General features: G+C 37.5%; 1 protein-coding gene across 16 annotated transcripts in view; it reads left to right on the forward strand.

The window, feature by feature from the left end:
• CNTLN (centlein) overlaps nucleotides 1-16326 on the forward strand; it is a 393595-nt gene that overhangs the window by 34922 nt on the left and 342347 nt on the right. The window lies entirely within an intron of this gene.

The following is a 16326-nucleotide window of genomic DNA, read 5'->3' on the forward strand; positions in this document are numbered from 1 at the left end:
ATTGAATCTGTAGATTGTTTTGGGTAATATGTATATTTTAGCAATAACCATCCTTCGAATCCATGAGCTATTTTTCCAGTTATTTGTGTCTTTAATTTCTTTCATCAATGTTTTATAGTTTTCAGTTATAGATCTTTCATGTAGTTGGTTAGATGTATTTCTAAGTATTTATTTTTGATTCTGTTGTTAATGGGATTGTTTTATTAATTTCTTTTTCAGAGAGTATGTTTTAGTGTTATAGAAACACAACTGATTTTCATATGCTGATTTTGTATTCTGAAACTTAACTAAATTTGTTTACTAGTTTCTAACAGTTTTTTGTTTTGGAAGGAGTCTTTAATTTTCTTTATATAAGATTGTGTTGTATAAAGACAGTGGCAGTTTTACTTCTTCCTTTCTAATTTGGATGGCCTTTCTTTCTTTTTCTTGCTTAATTGCTTTGGGTAGGACTTCCAGTAGTATATTGAATAAAAGTGGCAAGAGTGGGTTCTCCTGATGGTGTTCCCTAAGTACTGTAGTCTTTCTTTACTTTTACATTCCTTTTTACATTCTTTCTGTTCCTCTAACTGGGTAATTTCAAATTATCTGTTTTTCAGTTCACAGATTCTTCTGCTTGATTAAATCTGATGTTGACACTATTTCATTTTGCATTTCATTGTTATATTCCTCAGCTTCGGAATTTGTTTCTTTTTAATGATTTTTATCTGTCTGTTTTCATTCTTTTGTTCATGTATTGTTTTCTTTATATATCATTTAATCATCCATCTGTGTTCTCTTGTAGCTCGGTGGGCTTCCTTGAAACAATTAGACTCATTTTCCTCATTACAATGTTTTGGTCAATGATGGACTATATATCTGATGGTAGTCCCATAAGATTATAATACCGTATTTTTACTGTACTTTTTCTATGTTTAGATATGTTTACATGCACAAATACTTACCATTGTGTTACAGTTGCCTATAGTATTCAGTACAGTAACATGCTGTACAGGTTTGTAGCTTGAGAGTTATAGACTGTACCATATAGCCTAGGTGTGTAGTAGTCTATATCATTTAGGTTTATGTGAGTACACTCTGTGACGTTTGCACAAGGACAGAATCACCTAATGATGCATTTCTTGGAATGAATCCTTGTTGTTAAGTTACACGTGACTGTATTTTGAATGCTTTGACAATTCAAATATCTGCACATCTTTGGGATTGGTTACTGGAAAATTGTCATTTTGTTTTTTGGTGGCATTTTGTTTTTTGGTGGCATCTTGTTTTTGGTTTTTTTGTGTTTGTTGCCTTGCATTGATATCTGTGCATTTATTGGAGCAGTCACTTCTAGACTTTACACATTGATTTCAGTGGCCAAAGACTTTCACCTACAGATGGGTACAAGAGTGCTGGCTGGATGAGGTGCCATGGTTCCAAGCTTTGGTGAGGATACAGTGGTATAGTCTCCATGCAGTTTTGTCAGCTGAAGTCAGTATCTGCTAAGATTGTAGGAGTCCTCAGCAGCCAAGGCTGCGTGTGTTACAAGGTGTCTGCAGGGGGAGCGAGGGCTTTTGGGTTCTTTGATGGCCAGGGCTGCTGAGGTCTTCCTGATCTCTTTTTCTCTTGTGCAGGAAGTTGTGGTTGAGGGTATCCCTCTTGGTGCTGGGTCTAGCTTAGCACAGTGCCTATGGAGTGGCCATGGAGCTGATGTTTGGAGCTCAGGCATGTGTGGAGGGAGGGATGGTGACTCCAGGGTCTGGGGTAGCAGTGGTTCTAGTATCCAGGGCACAGGCACCCCCACCGGTTTGGTAATGGTATGTACAGTATGGGTGCTCGTGGAATAGCTAGGGAGCCAGGGTCCAAAGTGTGGTTATGTGCAAAGTTATAGGTAGCTCCAGGGTCCAGGACATTGTTACTCTCCCTGTGGTGGTGGCTTCAGTGTCCTAGGTGCAAGCACATTAGAGTAGCCATGGAGCCAGGGTCCATAGTGCAGTTGTGTGCAGAGTGAACAGTGGCTTTAAGATCTGGGCACAGGCTAGCCTGCTGTGTTGGTGGCTTCAATGTTTGAGGCATGGATACTCATGGATCGGCCATTGAGCTGGGGTTTGGAGTGCAGGTGAATAGTGCAGCTGTAGTTCTGGGATCTGTTGCATATGTGAGGTTGCGGCGGGTGGCAGCTTCTTCTAGGGGGTGGTTATGGCTACTGTTTATCTCAGTGGTGAAAGCTGCTGGTGTCCTCTGAGGAGCAGGTTGCTGGAGTTTGTACCTATGAACACTAAGGAGACAAAATGCAGAGAGTCTGTGACTGCTTTTGGGACTGTTAAGCTCCTTAGCAGTAATGGCTGCAAGAGTAATCTGCAGAGTAGGCTGTTGGGGACCATGGTAGCACCTGCTGTGTAGCTGATACTGATTTTCCTACACTTCTTCTTTGTTCCTAGTTGTCCCCAGACATTTTAGGTTTTATGGAATACCCCATCCATCCTTTCTGTGCAGTTATTCACCAATTTTTCCTCCATTTTTCTTGTGTAGATTCTTATTTAGACTCTTGAGACCTCTTTGGGCTATTTTGCTTATGGATAACTTTCTAGTTATTTTTAGGGGAGGAAGACGAAGGCTGGTATTTCTTACTCTGTCATCTTGCTGTATACTGCCTTTAAATAATATATTTTTCATAATTGTAAAAAGTTTTAATGCCTAACATTTTTCTATTTTCATTTTTATTTCCTGGATATTATTCTAAAATTGCCTAATTTAAAAAAAGGGAAATTTTACTTAGAAAAGGCTGAACTTAGTAAAATACATAATAGGTCAAATATAAACTTCTAGGTTTCAGTGCACTTTATTGCTAAGTCTACTTATAAGTGTGTACACATTCCTTCATAAACTATTTGATCTGACTAGCCTTTACATCAAGGCCTCCAACATGATTAATATCATATTTATTTATGCTGATGTTTCATCTTTGATATCATATACTATAAGGGAATCACTCAGGGAAACCTGAGGGAAAAGCTTTTTGAATTTTGGAAAAAATAATGGTTATATCCTGTTGGAAGATTTCTACAAATTTTTTGTGGAGAAAAGGAAAGTTAATGGCTTCAGCATCAGTGAAGACCAGCATATTAATTTCAAAGAAGTCACTGTCAAAAAGAACGAATAGTACATCTTTTATCATTTATTGGAAAGCCAGAAATGTTGAGTACTACCTAAACATTATGAGTATGAAGTTATAGCTATAATGCTGAATAATAATATCTAATATTTGTATATTACTTTAATTTTAATGTAAAATATCTCATTGGAAATTTCATGTCTTCTAACCTGATAGATGAATAGTAAACAAATTAGGGTATACATTTTCTTAATCACCAGTGTTATGAAGACAGATTTGTCCTTTAACATAATAACTTTATGAAATACATGTGCGTATGCATATTTAATTTTAAAAATAGTTTCTACCATTTGATACCCTGATGCGTCTTATTTTAAGGAAACAATTTATGTAAAACTTGTTTTCTTGTTTCTGCCATAGTCTTAAAATAGGGGTATTGTAGAAGCGTGGACAGATGCTTATCACTCTTGAGCTCATAAGGGTTAATCCGTGGCTGAAATTATGGTATTAAAAGTTTTCAACATTCTTATTCCTGATTTTTTTTTCTTAAATTGGAATTGTAACGGTGATTCACAGTAATTAAGTCAGAAATTTGCTTTCTTCTCATCAAAACAAAGAAACATTGTTGGAGAAGACTAGTGGAAGACTTAAAGGGTGTTTTCAATTGATTTTAGGGTCAGCGATTTTTTAAGGAAATAGTAGGTAGCCATTTTTTAAAAATTAAACTTTTCATTTTGAGATAATTGTAGATTCACATGCAGTTACAGGAAATAATACAGAGATTTGGCATATGCTTGAACCATTTCTTTCCAATAATAACATCTTGCAAAACTATAGTACAGTATGAAGACAGGATATTGACATTTATACAGTCAATGCAGAACAATTCTGTCACCATAAGGACCCCTTTTATAACCCCACTCACTTCACTCTTTATGCTCCACACCCTAGCCTGTTTGTAAATCCTGGCAGCTGCTTATTTGTTCTCCATTTTTGTAATTTTATCATTTCTAAAATGTTGTATAAATGGAATCAGACAGCATGTAACTTTTTAGTATAGGCTTTTCATTCAGCATAATTCTCTGGTGATTCTTTCAAATTTTTGTATATATCAGTAGTTCATTTATTTTTATTGCTGAAGAGTGTCCCATAGTATGGATGTACCACAGTTTAGCCATTCACTTGTTGAAGGACATCTGGGTTGTTTCCAGTTTTTGACTATTATGAATTAGTTGCTATGAATATTTGTGTACATACTTTTTTGTTGTAAACCTAAGTTTTTATTTATCTGGGATAAATGGCCAGGAGTGTAATTGCTGGGCCATGTGATTGTTATAGCCTTAGTTTGTTAAGAAATTGCCAGCTGGGTGCAGCGGCTTATGCCTGTAATCTTAGCACTTTGGGAGGCCGAGGTGGGTGGATCACCTGAAGTCAGGAGTTTGAAACCAGCCTGGCCAATATGGTGAAACCCCATCTCTACCAAAAATATAAAAATTAGCCGGACGTGGTGGTGGGTGCCTGTAGTCCCAGCTACTCGGGAGGCTGAGACAGGAGAATTGCTTCAACCCGGGAGGCGGAGGTTGCAGTGAGCCGAGATTGTGCCACTGCACTCCAGCCTGGGCAACAGCACGAGACTCCGTCTCAGGAAAAAAAAAAAAAAAAGAAAGAAATTGCCAAACCGTTTGTCAGAGTGTCTATACCATTTTACATTTTATCCAGCAATGTGTGAGAGTGATTTGGTTTATCTGCTTCTTCACCAGTATTTGGTGTCACTATGTTTTCTTTTAGCCATTCTGCTGATGTATAGTTATACCTCATTGAAGTTTTAATTTGCATTTCTCATGGTTAATGATGTTGAACATCTTTTCCTGTATTCATTTGCCATCTGAATGTCCTCTTCGATGAGGACATGTCTTTTGCCCATTTCCTATTTGGATTTCAAAAAATTACTGTTGAGTTTTCAAAGTTCTTTTCATATCCCAGATACTGGTCTTTTGTCAACTATGTGGTTTGCAAATATTGTCTCCCAGTCTATAGCTTGTGTTTCATCCTCTTAACAAGGTCTTTTGTAGAACAAAATTTAAAATTTTGATGAAGTCCAATTTTAATTTTTTCTTCAATGGGTATGTTTTTGGCGTCAAATTGAGATTTTGTTTTTGCCTAGCTCTAGAGACCAAAGATTTTCTCTTATTTTTTTTCCTAAAAGTTTTATAGTTTTATGTTTTGTACTTAAGTTCACAATCCATTTTGAGTTACTATTTGTTTAAGAAGAGATTTAAGGAGGTCAAGTTTCTTTTCTTTTTTTGCCTGTGGATGTCTAATTCTTCTAGCACAATTTGTTAAAAGTATCGTCCTCTTCCCATTGAACTATTTTGCATCTTTGTCTAAAATCACTTGGGTATATTTGCATGGTTGTATTTCTTGGTTCTTCATTCTGTTCTATTGATCTATAGGTCTGTTTTCTGTCAATACCATACCATCTTGATTACTATAGCTATATAATGCATCTTAAAATCTGCTAGAATGATTTCTCCTGCTTTTTCTTCCTTTTCAAAATTGTTTTAGATATTTCAGTCCTGTGCTTTTCCATGAAGTTTAGAAGACTCTTGTCTCTATTTTTTAAAAATCTTGTTCAGGTTTTGAGTTGAACCTAGATATCAATTTGGGGGAGAATTGTTGACTCCTAATCCATGGACATAAGATGTCTCTCCATTTATTTAGATCTTCTTTGATTGCTTTCACTACCATTTTGTAGTTTTCAGCATGCAAGTCCTATATATTGTTAGATTTACACCTATGTATTTAAACTTTTTGGTATGATGGTAAATGATACTGTATTTTTATGTTTAGTGTCCGTGTTTGCATTACTAATATATAGAATAAGGATTTCCGTGTGCACTTATTATTTCTAAGATTTTATTTTTTTAATGATCCCTTGATTTTTCTACATAATCATGTTAATTATCTATTGTAATTATCTATTGTAATTGTAAGCAAGTGGAGTTTTATTTCTTCCTTTCTGATATGTGTGCCTTTTATTTTATTTTATTTTCCCTTATTGTGTTGGCTATATTTTCCAGTACTATGTTGAGTAAGAGTGGTGAGAGTGGCCATCATTGCCCTGCTCCTATTTTAGAGAGAAATCAGTCTTTCACTAAATGGTCCCTGCAAGTTTTTTGTAAATTTTTTTTTTATCAAGTTGAGGAAATTTTCTGTTCCTAGATTGCTGATAATTTTTTTTTTATCATGAATGGGCATTTGATTCCATGAAATGCTTGTACTGCATCACTTGATATGACCAGGAGATTTTTCTTCTTCAGACTGTTGATATGGTGGAATACATGGATTTATTTTTGAATACTGAACCAGCTTTGCCTACTGGAATAAATTTCACTTGGTCGTGGAGTACAATTATACATTGCTAAATACTATTTGCTAATGTTTTGTTAAGGATTGATTGCATCTCTAATCATGAGGGATATTGGTGTATAGCTTTCTTTTATTGTACTATCTTTGGTTTTTATATCAGAGATAAGTAGCTTCATAAAATGAATCAGGAAGTGGTGCTTTCTCTTCTGTTTTCTGGAACAAATTGTGTAGAGTTGATGTTATTCTTCTTCAAATATTTGGTGGAATTCTTTAGTAAATTATCTGAACCTGGAGGGTTCTTTTCTGGGAGTTTCCAAATTGCCAATTCGCTTTCCTTAATAGTTATAGGATTGTTCAGTTATCTATTTCATGTTGGTGAAGTGTGGTAGTTTGTGCATCTTGAGGAACTGGTTTTTCTAAGTTGTCAAATTTATGTGTATAGCGTTGTTCACAGTTTTTTCTTGTTATGGTTTTATGTCTGCAGTGTCTGTTGATAATCCTGTTTCTTGATATTGATAACAGATGTGTCTTTTCCCTATTTTTTTCCCTTGTCAGTCTGCTAGAAGTTTTTGCAAAGTATTGCACTTCCAAAAAGTTCTTAGTTTCATTGATTTTCTCTATTATTTTTCTGTTTTCTATTATGTTGATTTCTGCTTTTTATTATTTCCTTTTTGTTGTTATCTCTGTCAATAATTTTCAGTTTCTTGGCTGGGCGCGGTGGCTCACGCCTGTAATCCCAGCACTTTGGGAGGCTGAGGCAGGCAGATCACGAGGTCAGGAGACCGAGACTATCTTGGCTAACATGGTGAAACCCCGTCTCTACTAAAAATACAAAAAATTAGCCTGGCGTGGTGGCAGGCACCTGTAGTCCCAGCTGCTCTGGAGGCTGAGGTAGGAGAATGGCGTGAACCCGGGAGGCGGAGCTTGCAGTGAGCTGAGATTGTGCCACTGCACTCCAGCCTGGGCGACAGAACAAGACTCTGTCTCAAAAAAAAAAAAATTATTTTCAGTTTCTTGAAGTGGAAATGTGTCCGGAATTGGTGGGTTCTTCGTCTCACTGACTTCAACAAAGAAGCTGCGGACCCTTGTGGTGAGTGTCACAGTTCTTAAAGGCGGTGTGTCCGAAGTTTGTTCCTTCTGATGGTCGGATATGTTCGGAGTTTCTTCCTTCTGGTGGGTTCGTGGTCTCACTGGCTCAGGAGTGAAGCTGCAGACCTTTGCGGTGAGTGTTACAGCTCTTAAGGCAGCACATCCGGAGTTGTTCGTTCCTCCCAGTGGGTTTGTGGTCTCGATGGCTTCAGGACTGAAGCTGCAGACCTTCGCGGTGAGTGTTACAGCTCATAAAGGCAGTGTGGACCCAAAGAGTGAGCAGCAGCGAGATTTATTGCAAAGAGCGAAAGAACAAAGCTTCCACAGTATGGAAGGGGACCTGAATGGGTTGCCACTGCTGGCTCAGGCAGCGGTGCTTTTATTCTCTTATCTGGCCCCACCCACATCCTGCTGATTGGTCCATTTTGACAGGGTGCTGATTGGTGCATTTACAATCCCTGAGCTAGACACAAAAGTTCTCCACATCCCCACTAGATTAGCTAGATATAGAGTGTTGATTGGTGCATTCACAAACCCTGAGCTACACACAGGGTGCTGATTGGTGTGTTTACAAACCTTGAGCTAGATACAGAGTGCTGATTGGTGTATTTACAATATCTTAGCTAGACATAAAGGTTCTCCCAGTTCCCACCAGATTAACTAGATACGGAGTGTCGATTGGTGCATTCACAAGCACTGAGCTAGACACAGGGTGCTGATTGGTATGTTTACAAACCTTGAGCTAGATTCAGAGTGCTGATTGGTATATTTACAATCCCTTAGCTAGACATAAAGGTTCTCCAATTCCCCACCAGACTCAGGAGCCCAGCTGGCTTCACCCAGTGGATCCCGCACCCGGGCCGCAGGTGGAGCTGCCTGCTAGTCCCGTGCCCTGTGCCCGCACTCCTCAGCCCTTGGGCGGTAGATGGGACTGGGCGCCCTGGAATAGGGAGTGGTGCTGGTTAGGGAGGCTCGGGCTGCCCGGGATCCCACAGCAGGGCGGGGGCGGGGGGTGCATGGGGGACTCAGGCATGGCGAATTGCAGGTCTGGAGCCCTGCCCCACAGGGAGGCAGCTAAGGCCCGGTGAGAAATCGAGCACAGCAGCTGCTGGCCCAGGTGCTAAGCCCCTCACTGCCCGGGGCCTGCCGGCTGGCCGGCCGCTCCAAGTGCGGGGACCACCGAGCCCACACCCACCCGGAATTCACGCTGGCCCACAAGGGTTGCGGGCAGCCCCAGTTCCTGCCAGCGTCTCTCCCTCCACACCTGCCTTCAAGCTGAGGGAGTCAGCTCTGGCCTTGGCCAGCCCAGCAAGGGCTCCCACAGTGCAGCGGTGGGCTGAAGGGCTCCTGAAGCGTGGCCAGAGTGGGCGCCAAGGCCGAGGAGGCGCCGAGAGCGAGGGAGGGCTGTGAGAGCTGCCAGCACGCTGTCACCTCTCAGAAGTGTAGATTATTGGCCGGGCGCGGTGGCTCACGCCTGTAATCCCAGCACTTTGGGAGGCCGAGGCGGGCGGATCACGAGGTCAGGAGATCGAGACCATCCCGGCTAAAACGGTGAAACCCCGTCTCTACTAAAAATACAAAAAATTAGCCGGGCGTAGTGGCGGGCGCCTGTAGTCCCAGCTACTTGGGAGGCTGAGGCAGGAGAATGGCGTGAACCCGGGAGGCGGAGCTTGCAGTGAGCCGAGATCCCGCCACTGCACTCCAGCCTGGGCGACAGAGCGAGACTCCGTCTCAAAAAAAAAAAAAAAAAAAAGAAGAAGTGTAGATTATTGATTTGAGATTTTTCCTGTTTTGTAACGTACACCTTTAATTTTATAAATTTTCCTCTCAGCTGCTTTAACTTCATCCCCCATATTTTGATATGCTGCCTTTTTATTTTTATTCAGTTCTATGTATTTTTAACTTTCCTGTGAGACTCTCTGTATGACCAAGGATTATGTAGAAATGTGTTATTTAATTTTCAAGTGTTTGGCGATTTTTCCTTTGCCAGATTTTTAGTTTGATTTCATATGGTCAGAGAATGTACTCTGTGATTTAAATTCTTTAAATTTGACAAGGTTTGTTTTGTGGCCCAAAGTATGGTTTATCTTTGTATAAATCTATGGGCATTTGAAAATAATATATATTTTGCTGATGTTGGTGGATTGTTCCATAAATATTGATTAGATCCTATAGGTTGATTTTGTTGCTGAGCTCTTCTGTACCTTTGATAATTCACTGGCTAGTTCTATACATTGTTGAGAGAGGCATTTTGAAGTTGCCAAACATAATTATTGATTTATCTATTACTCTTTTCAGTTCTATCAGTTTTTTTTCTGTATATTATTTTGAGCTCTAAAGTCTAAAGTTGGTACGTACACATTTAGGATCACTACGTCTTCTTGGTAGATTCTTTTATCATTGTATAATGTCCCTTACTTTCCCTAGTAATTTTCTTTGCTCTGAAGTACACTTTATTCAATGTTAATATAACCACTCTTCTTTCTTTTGAAGAATGATTACATATCTTTTTTCCTTCCTTTTACTTTCAACTTACCTATATTGCCATATTTGAAATGAGTTTCTTTTAGTTACTATATAGTTGCATCATATTTTAAAATCTACTCTGTTGAGCACTTTTGATTTGTATATTTTAGATTATTTACATTCAGCTTGATTATTGATATGTTAGCATTTACGTGTGTCATTTTGCTTTTTTTTCTGTTTGCTATCTCTGTTTTTTTTTTTTTCCTGCCTTCCTGTTGGCTATTGGAACGCATTTTAGAATTTCATTTTGATTTATCTGTATTGGTTTTGGTGGTATCTCTTTGTATATATCTTTAGTGGTTGCTCTAATTATTATATTATATTATATTATATTATATTATATATACATAACTTAGCACAGTGTACTGGTATCAATATTTTACTACTTTAAGTGACATTTATAATAGAAACCTTTCTCTCTATTTTCCTTTTCTTTCCCCTATATAATATAGTTGCCATGAATATTTTTTGACCCACATTTAGAACCACATAAGATATTATTATACTTTTTGTTTCAGCCATCAAACCTAATTTAGAAAACTGAAGAAGACAAGGAAAGTCTGTTGTATTTATGCAGATTTTTGCCTTTACTCTTTTCCTTCTTCCTTCTTGATGTTCCAGGATCCCTCCATTTAAAATTTCTTTTCTATTTAGAAAACTTACTTTAGCTATACTTTTTTGTTTGGTCTCATGACAACCAATTCCTAGATTTCCCCCCTCCTATTTTTTAAGAATGTCTTGATTTCCTTTAATTCCTAAAAATTATTTTCACTGGTTATATTATAGAATTGTGCGTTGATTCTTTTCTTTTCTTTCGGTATTTGAAAAATGCCATGCCCCTTCCTTCTGGTTTTGGTGGTTTCCAGCAAGAAATCTGCTGTCATCTGAATCATTGTTTTTAGGTAATAATGGTATTTCTGTGTCACTATCTTCAAGATTTTTTCTTAGTTTTTAGATTTTGGAAGTTTTCGTATGATATGACTTGGTATAGATTTATTTGAGATTATTGTGTTCGGGTTTGTTCAGCTTCATGAATCTGTATGATTATGTCTTTTGCCAAACTTGATAAATTTTGAGTCACTGTTTCTTTGTATATTTATTGACCTGCCTTCTTTCTCTTCTACCTAGGCTCAGGTGTTGTAAATATTAGATCTTTGACAGGCCTCTGAGGTGGTGTTCGTTTTGTCTATTTTCCATGTTGTTCATATTTGGTAAATTCTGTTGTTCTCTTTTGCTTTTCACTGATTCTTTCCTGTCCTCTCCAGTTGGCTGTTGAGCCCATCTATTGAGTTGGGTTTTGTACTTTTCAGGCATAAAATTTGTATTTGTTTTTTCGTTGTATCTTCTGTCTCTTTGCTTAGACTTTCTGTTTCTTTGCTGAGGCTTCCAATTTGTTTCTTTTACCTTCATAACTGCTCATTGAAGCATTTTCATTATGGCTGTTTTGAAATTGTTGTCACATAATTCTGACATCTCTGTCATCTTGGTGTTGGCATCTGTGGATTTGTTAACAATTCAAGATATTCCTGGTTCTTGGTATAACAAATGATTTTCTGATTGAATCTGGATGCTTTGGGTATTACATTATGAACTCTGTATCTTATTTAAACCTTCTATTTTCTCTGGCTTTCACTGATGACATTCTATCAGAGGAGGAGTTAGCCCCTCCTATTTACTGCCGGAAGAGTTTAGAAGTTTAGGTTCCCCTCTGGTCTCTGAAGACACCTGAGGAATATGATGCTCTTTTTTATTGCTGGATGGGTGTATTCTCACCCTTTATTAGGCCTTCACTAATGCCACCCTAGGTGGAAGGGGCAGGAATGTCTCCCATGTGGCTTCCACTGTCATCACGGGAGGAAGGGAGCCTTGTTATTGCTGGGCAGAGGTGAAAATTCTGACTCTTCCTTGGCCTCCTCTGACACAGTTCCAATGGGGAGCAGGGGCTGGAGGAGTGGGTAACCTCATTACAGTATCGTGAATATGAAAGTCCTGGCTCTCCACTTGTCCTTCTCTGAAATTCTTCTGGCAGCAATTAGGGAGGCTGGGGAGCCTCATTATATAGACTTGCAAAGATTGAAGTCTAGGCTCCTCTCGTGGCCTTTGCTAGCATGAGTGGTGGTAGGGCCACATTTTTTTTTTTTCCTTTGGTACTTGTCAGGAGTAGAGTGGTTAATGTCTAAAAGTTTTTTGTTTACTAGCCTACTCCTTTCCTGGTCCGTAGGGTAGAGAGCAGACTTTCGTTGAGGCTTTTTTCTTTCTGTACTTAGTGGTGTTTCTAGGTTGTCAACTTTTTCTGTTCCATATCTGCTGTGCATGAGGCAAAAGGAAAACCCAGGGAACTTATTGCTGTTTAATAACAAGGTCCCAAGGTCTCTAGTCAATCTGCCTTTTTTCCCCCACTTCAGAGTTTTCTCATGTTTATTTTATATGTAGTATTCAGGGTTTTTAGTTGTGTTCTGAGGGAGGAATCAGGAAAATACTTCTAATCCATTTTCCTGGGAATGGAAGCTGACCATGCTTTAGAAAATTTATTTTGTCATTGTATTTGGTGAGTTAATTGAAGTAGGTAACTTGACATTGTTGACATTTGCTCTTTAGAGTAAGATTAAAAAGTTTGATAGATGACGAGTTTACCCTAGAGGGAAGGTGGCAAATACCTGATCCTTGTGCCACTTCTCTTACCCTTATATACCATAGCAGTCTTTACTTATTGTTCTCCATTCTTCTTCCTGTTGAGTCGTGAATTAAAACAGCATTCCAGATAGCACATTGCTAGAGTTTTGGAGAGAAGAGAAAACTTATTTGCCATACTTGCCATGAAGCTGTATTCAGTTGGGCATAATTAGTCATGTGAATTCTAGTGGGAGGGGCCCAGTTGAGATAGATTCTAGTGCGTGCAAAATTGATGCAGTTACTCACGAAAACAAGTGAAACAGGTCATTAGTTGTTACTGGAGGTCTGTGTCTTCAAAGTCTGGTGTCTGCATCTGTGAGTAGATAATAGTATGATAGAATCTGTATTTACTAATGATTCTAGTAGTTAAGTGTATCTGTGAGTAGATAATAGTGATGGATAGAATCTGTATTTACTAATGATTCTAGTAGTTAAGTGTGGACCTTCAAGTTTGGTCATCAGGAATTATCATTTACATATTTTTTTGAGGGGAGATAAATTTATAATTAGTAAACCAAAATGTTTTAAAATTCATCCATAAATCCAAACCATCTTATAGACATGAATGGGACATATCCACTCTGTCATTTGGAATATCACAGAATAATTCTCATTCTTTTAACAAATTTATCATTTTATAAGGTTATTCAGGAGAATAAACCTAGAAGAAAAGAGTGTCCACAAAAACTCATTGAGTAGGGTTGCAGTCTTATATGTAGACTTTTGAAAACTGTCTTGTTGCATTAAAAATTAATGAACACTTTTTTCTATTTGTTTTTTTTTTGTAAAAAAGGAGAAGAATATAAGTGTTTAAATAGAATTGCAAACAATAAAAACTGTAGTTATGGTAACTTTAAAATGTTCACGTGAAACACTAATAATAATCTTTGGCCATTCGGTAAGATTGATAAAGTCTTGCCTATTCCTTTCAATGCCTTTGGTTAATTTTTATGTTATCATCAAAAATAAATGTTTCAAAGGCAAATGAACTAGATATAATTATATATAAACAATGCTGAGATCAATAGTATTTAAAGTAGTTGGGAAGTATACTAAACATGAAATACACTTCTGCATCCACTTATTTGAAAATACCTGGAGGCCTTTTCTTATCCCAAAGGCATTTCTAATTTGCATAGTAAAGATAGTATTATTTATATTTTCCTTTAATATTCAGATATAGTTATATTCACCAGATAAGAAATGTACCTACCCTGTGAAAGCTAGTATCTAAATTTGTTCTTAAGAACCAGTCAAGTGTAAAGTAAGTAATTTCTGGTTGAAATGGAAAATAGTGAGCTTTTTGAAGTTTCACATTGAGGTCATGAGATAACCTGATTTATGATAGCATATGAGAAGCAACGAATAATCTGAAATGTTCATCCCACACTGTAGATTAAACTGAGTTTTTAATAGACATAACTAATTTTGAGGAAGATTTTCGTGAAATAGCTTTAAAGTATTTGGTGATTTTTACCGACAAACGGACTTATTCGAATCATAAATGAATTTAATTATTTGAAAATGATCAAGCATATATATGTATAAAAAATTCTTGCTATTTTGGAATTTGAATTTTCAAATTACGTAAACATGAATATTTGTTATAACAGAGCACATTTTTGTAGTACTATTTCAACAAATTTCAAACATTTTTATTTTGGTAGTTAAAATCAGAAGCAATTGTATTTTAAAGTGCAATACGTATGATAACTAGCTATTTCAAAATCATACGTTATGCATAAGATGTTACTTTTCAAGAATGAACATTAATGTAGGGAAGAAGTACTATTAAAAGATAAAACCAGACACTCTTTCACTTGAGAATGTGGATAGATGTGAGGTAGGAATTTGCTTTTAGAATTATGAATTGTATTGGGGGAGAAGTGGAGAGTTATTACTATGATCGTGACTACAGTTGCCATTGCCATTGTGAATTGGCTTCATTAGTGTTCAATCCAGCCACTTTAGCAGAACTCATACTAGCATAATTGCTATTGCAGGATTAATTCATTAAAACAACAATAGGAATACTCACACAATAACCATATTCAGAAAATTAACCCCTTTGAAATGAACACGTCTTTATTCAAAACCTGATAAGGACTAAGAGGATCACTTAGGCAAAAATTTGAAATGGTGGAGGAAAGTATCCATAAATTATTACCGTATTTTTCTAAAGGATTGTAGGTTAGAGTGAATTATGATAAAAGCAAATCTGGTATTTAAACTCACAGTGTATTTTTGGATATCCTCTAATTAAGTCTCAGAACTTTATAAAAGCTTTAGCCAATAACATTTAATTTATCTACTCTTGAAGTCTGAATAGAATATTCTAGCCAAATGCTCCTTTGTTAGAGATTCTTAAGCTGGTGTGAATGTTTTCATTATACTGGAAAATAGAATTCTTTTGGAATTCTAGAAATGAAATTTTCTGTTGAAACCTGTCTTCTGGTAAAACATTCAAACACATTTACAATTTATATTCCAAGGTGAAGTGTGTATTCTTTAATTTCCACGGAGGTTATCAATTTTATTGCAATAGATAATATGTCTAAAACATGAGTAAATCAAAAGAATATCAAAAGTCATTCAACTTCTGGTACGTGTTCATGATTTTGCCAGAAACTGGATGGCTCCAAACAAACATGACATTTACTTTCAAAGGGTTTATCAAAAGATAATAATACATTCCTAACTAGCATGTTGGCACAGCATTGTTTCTAAGATAAGTCACTATTTGTCACAGCAAACGTTTTCTTTTTAATTGTCATTTGGCTCAGATCTTTCTGTGATTGCTTTTAAATATATGCTAATTCTTTTAGTTTACTTTTTTTTCTTCTAGTTTACTTTTCCCTGTTAATATCTCTTGGTTTGTGAGTTTGTGAATGACGGGTGGGATCTACTATAAGGGTTCCCCAGAGCATTGAAGAGGTTTCAGAGACCAAGGAGGTGAGGGAGATGCAAAACACATGGAAAGATCTTTCCTATCTATGCCTTGCACATTTCACTCTGTTAGAAAGGCTTTTCTCTCCTCTTTGCTTTTTGAAATGTTTCCCATTTGTGTGTGTGTGTGTGTGTGTGTGTGTGTGTATCTGTGTGTGTCAGGGTCCTGCTCTGTTGCCCAGGCTAGAGTGCAGTGGTGAGCTCATGCCTTACTGTAGCCTCTACCTCCTGGGCTCAAGTGATTCTCCCACCTCAGCCTCCTGAGGAGCTGGGACTATAGGCGCGCACCACCACACCTGGCTAATTTTTAAATTTTTTGTAGAGGCAGGTCTCACTGTGTTGCTCAGGTTGGTCTTGAACTCTTGAGCTCAAGTTATCCTCCTGCCTTGGCCTCCCAGAGTGCCAGGACCACAGGTATGAGCCACCGTGTCAGCCCCTCCCATTCTTTAGTTATCAGAATAAGCTGAGGATAATTTATTTCATCTTGGACTTTGTTTATAATTTTCTTATAGGATTTTCCATATTCTGCCACATGTTCATGCACACTGAGTAGAGATGAATTCCTTGAAAAGGGTATTCATCTTTGAATGACTGGTAATAGTACATCATTCATGTTGTGTAGTGTCTGTTCA

Source organism: Homo sapiens, chromosome 9 (assembly GCF_000001405.40).
Source record: "Homo sapiens chromosome 9, GRCh38.p14 Primary Assembly".
NCBI classification, from domain to species: Eukaryota; Metazoa; Chordata; class Mammalia; order Primates; family Hominidae; genus Homo; species Homo sapiens.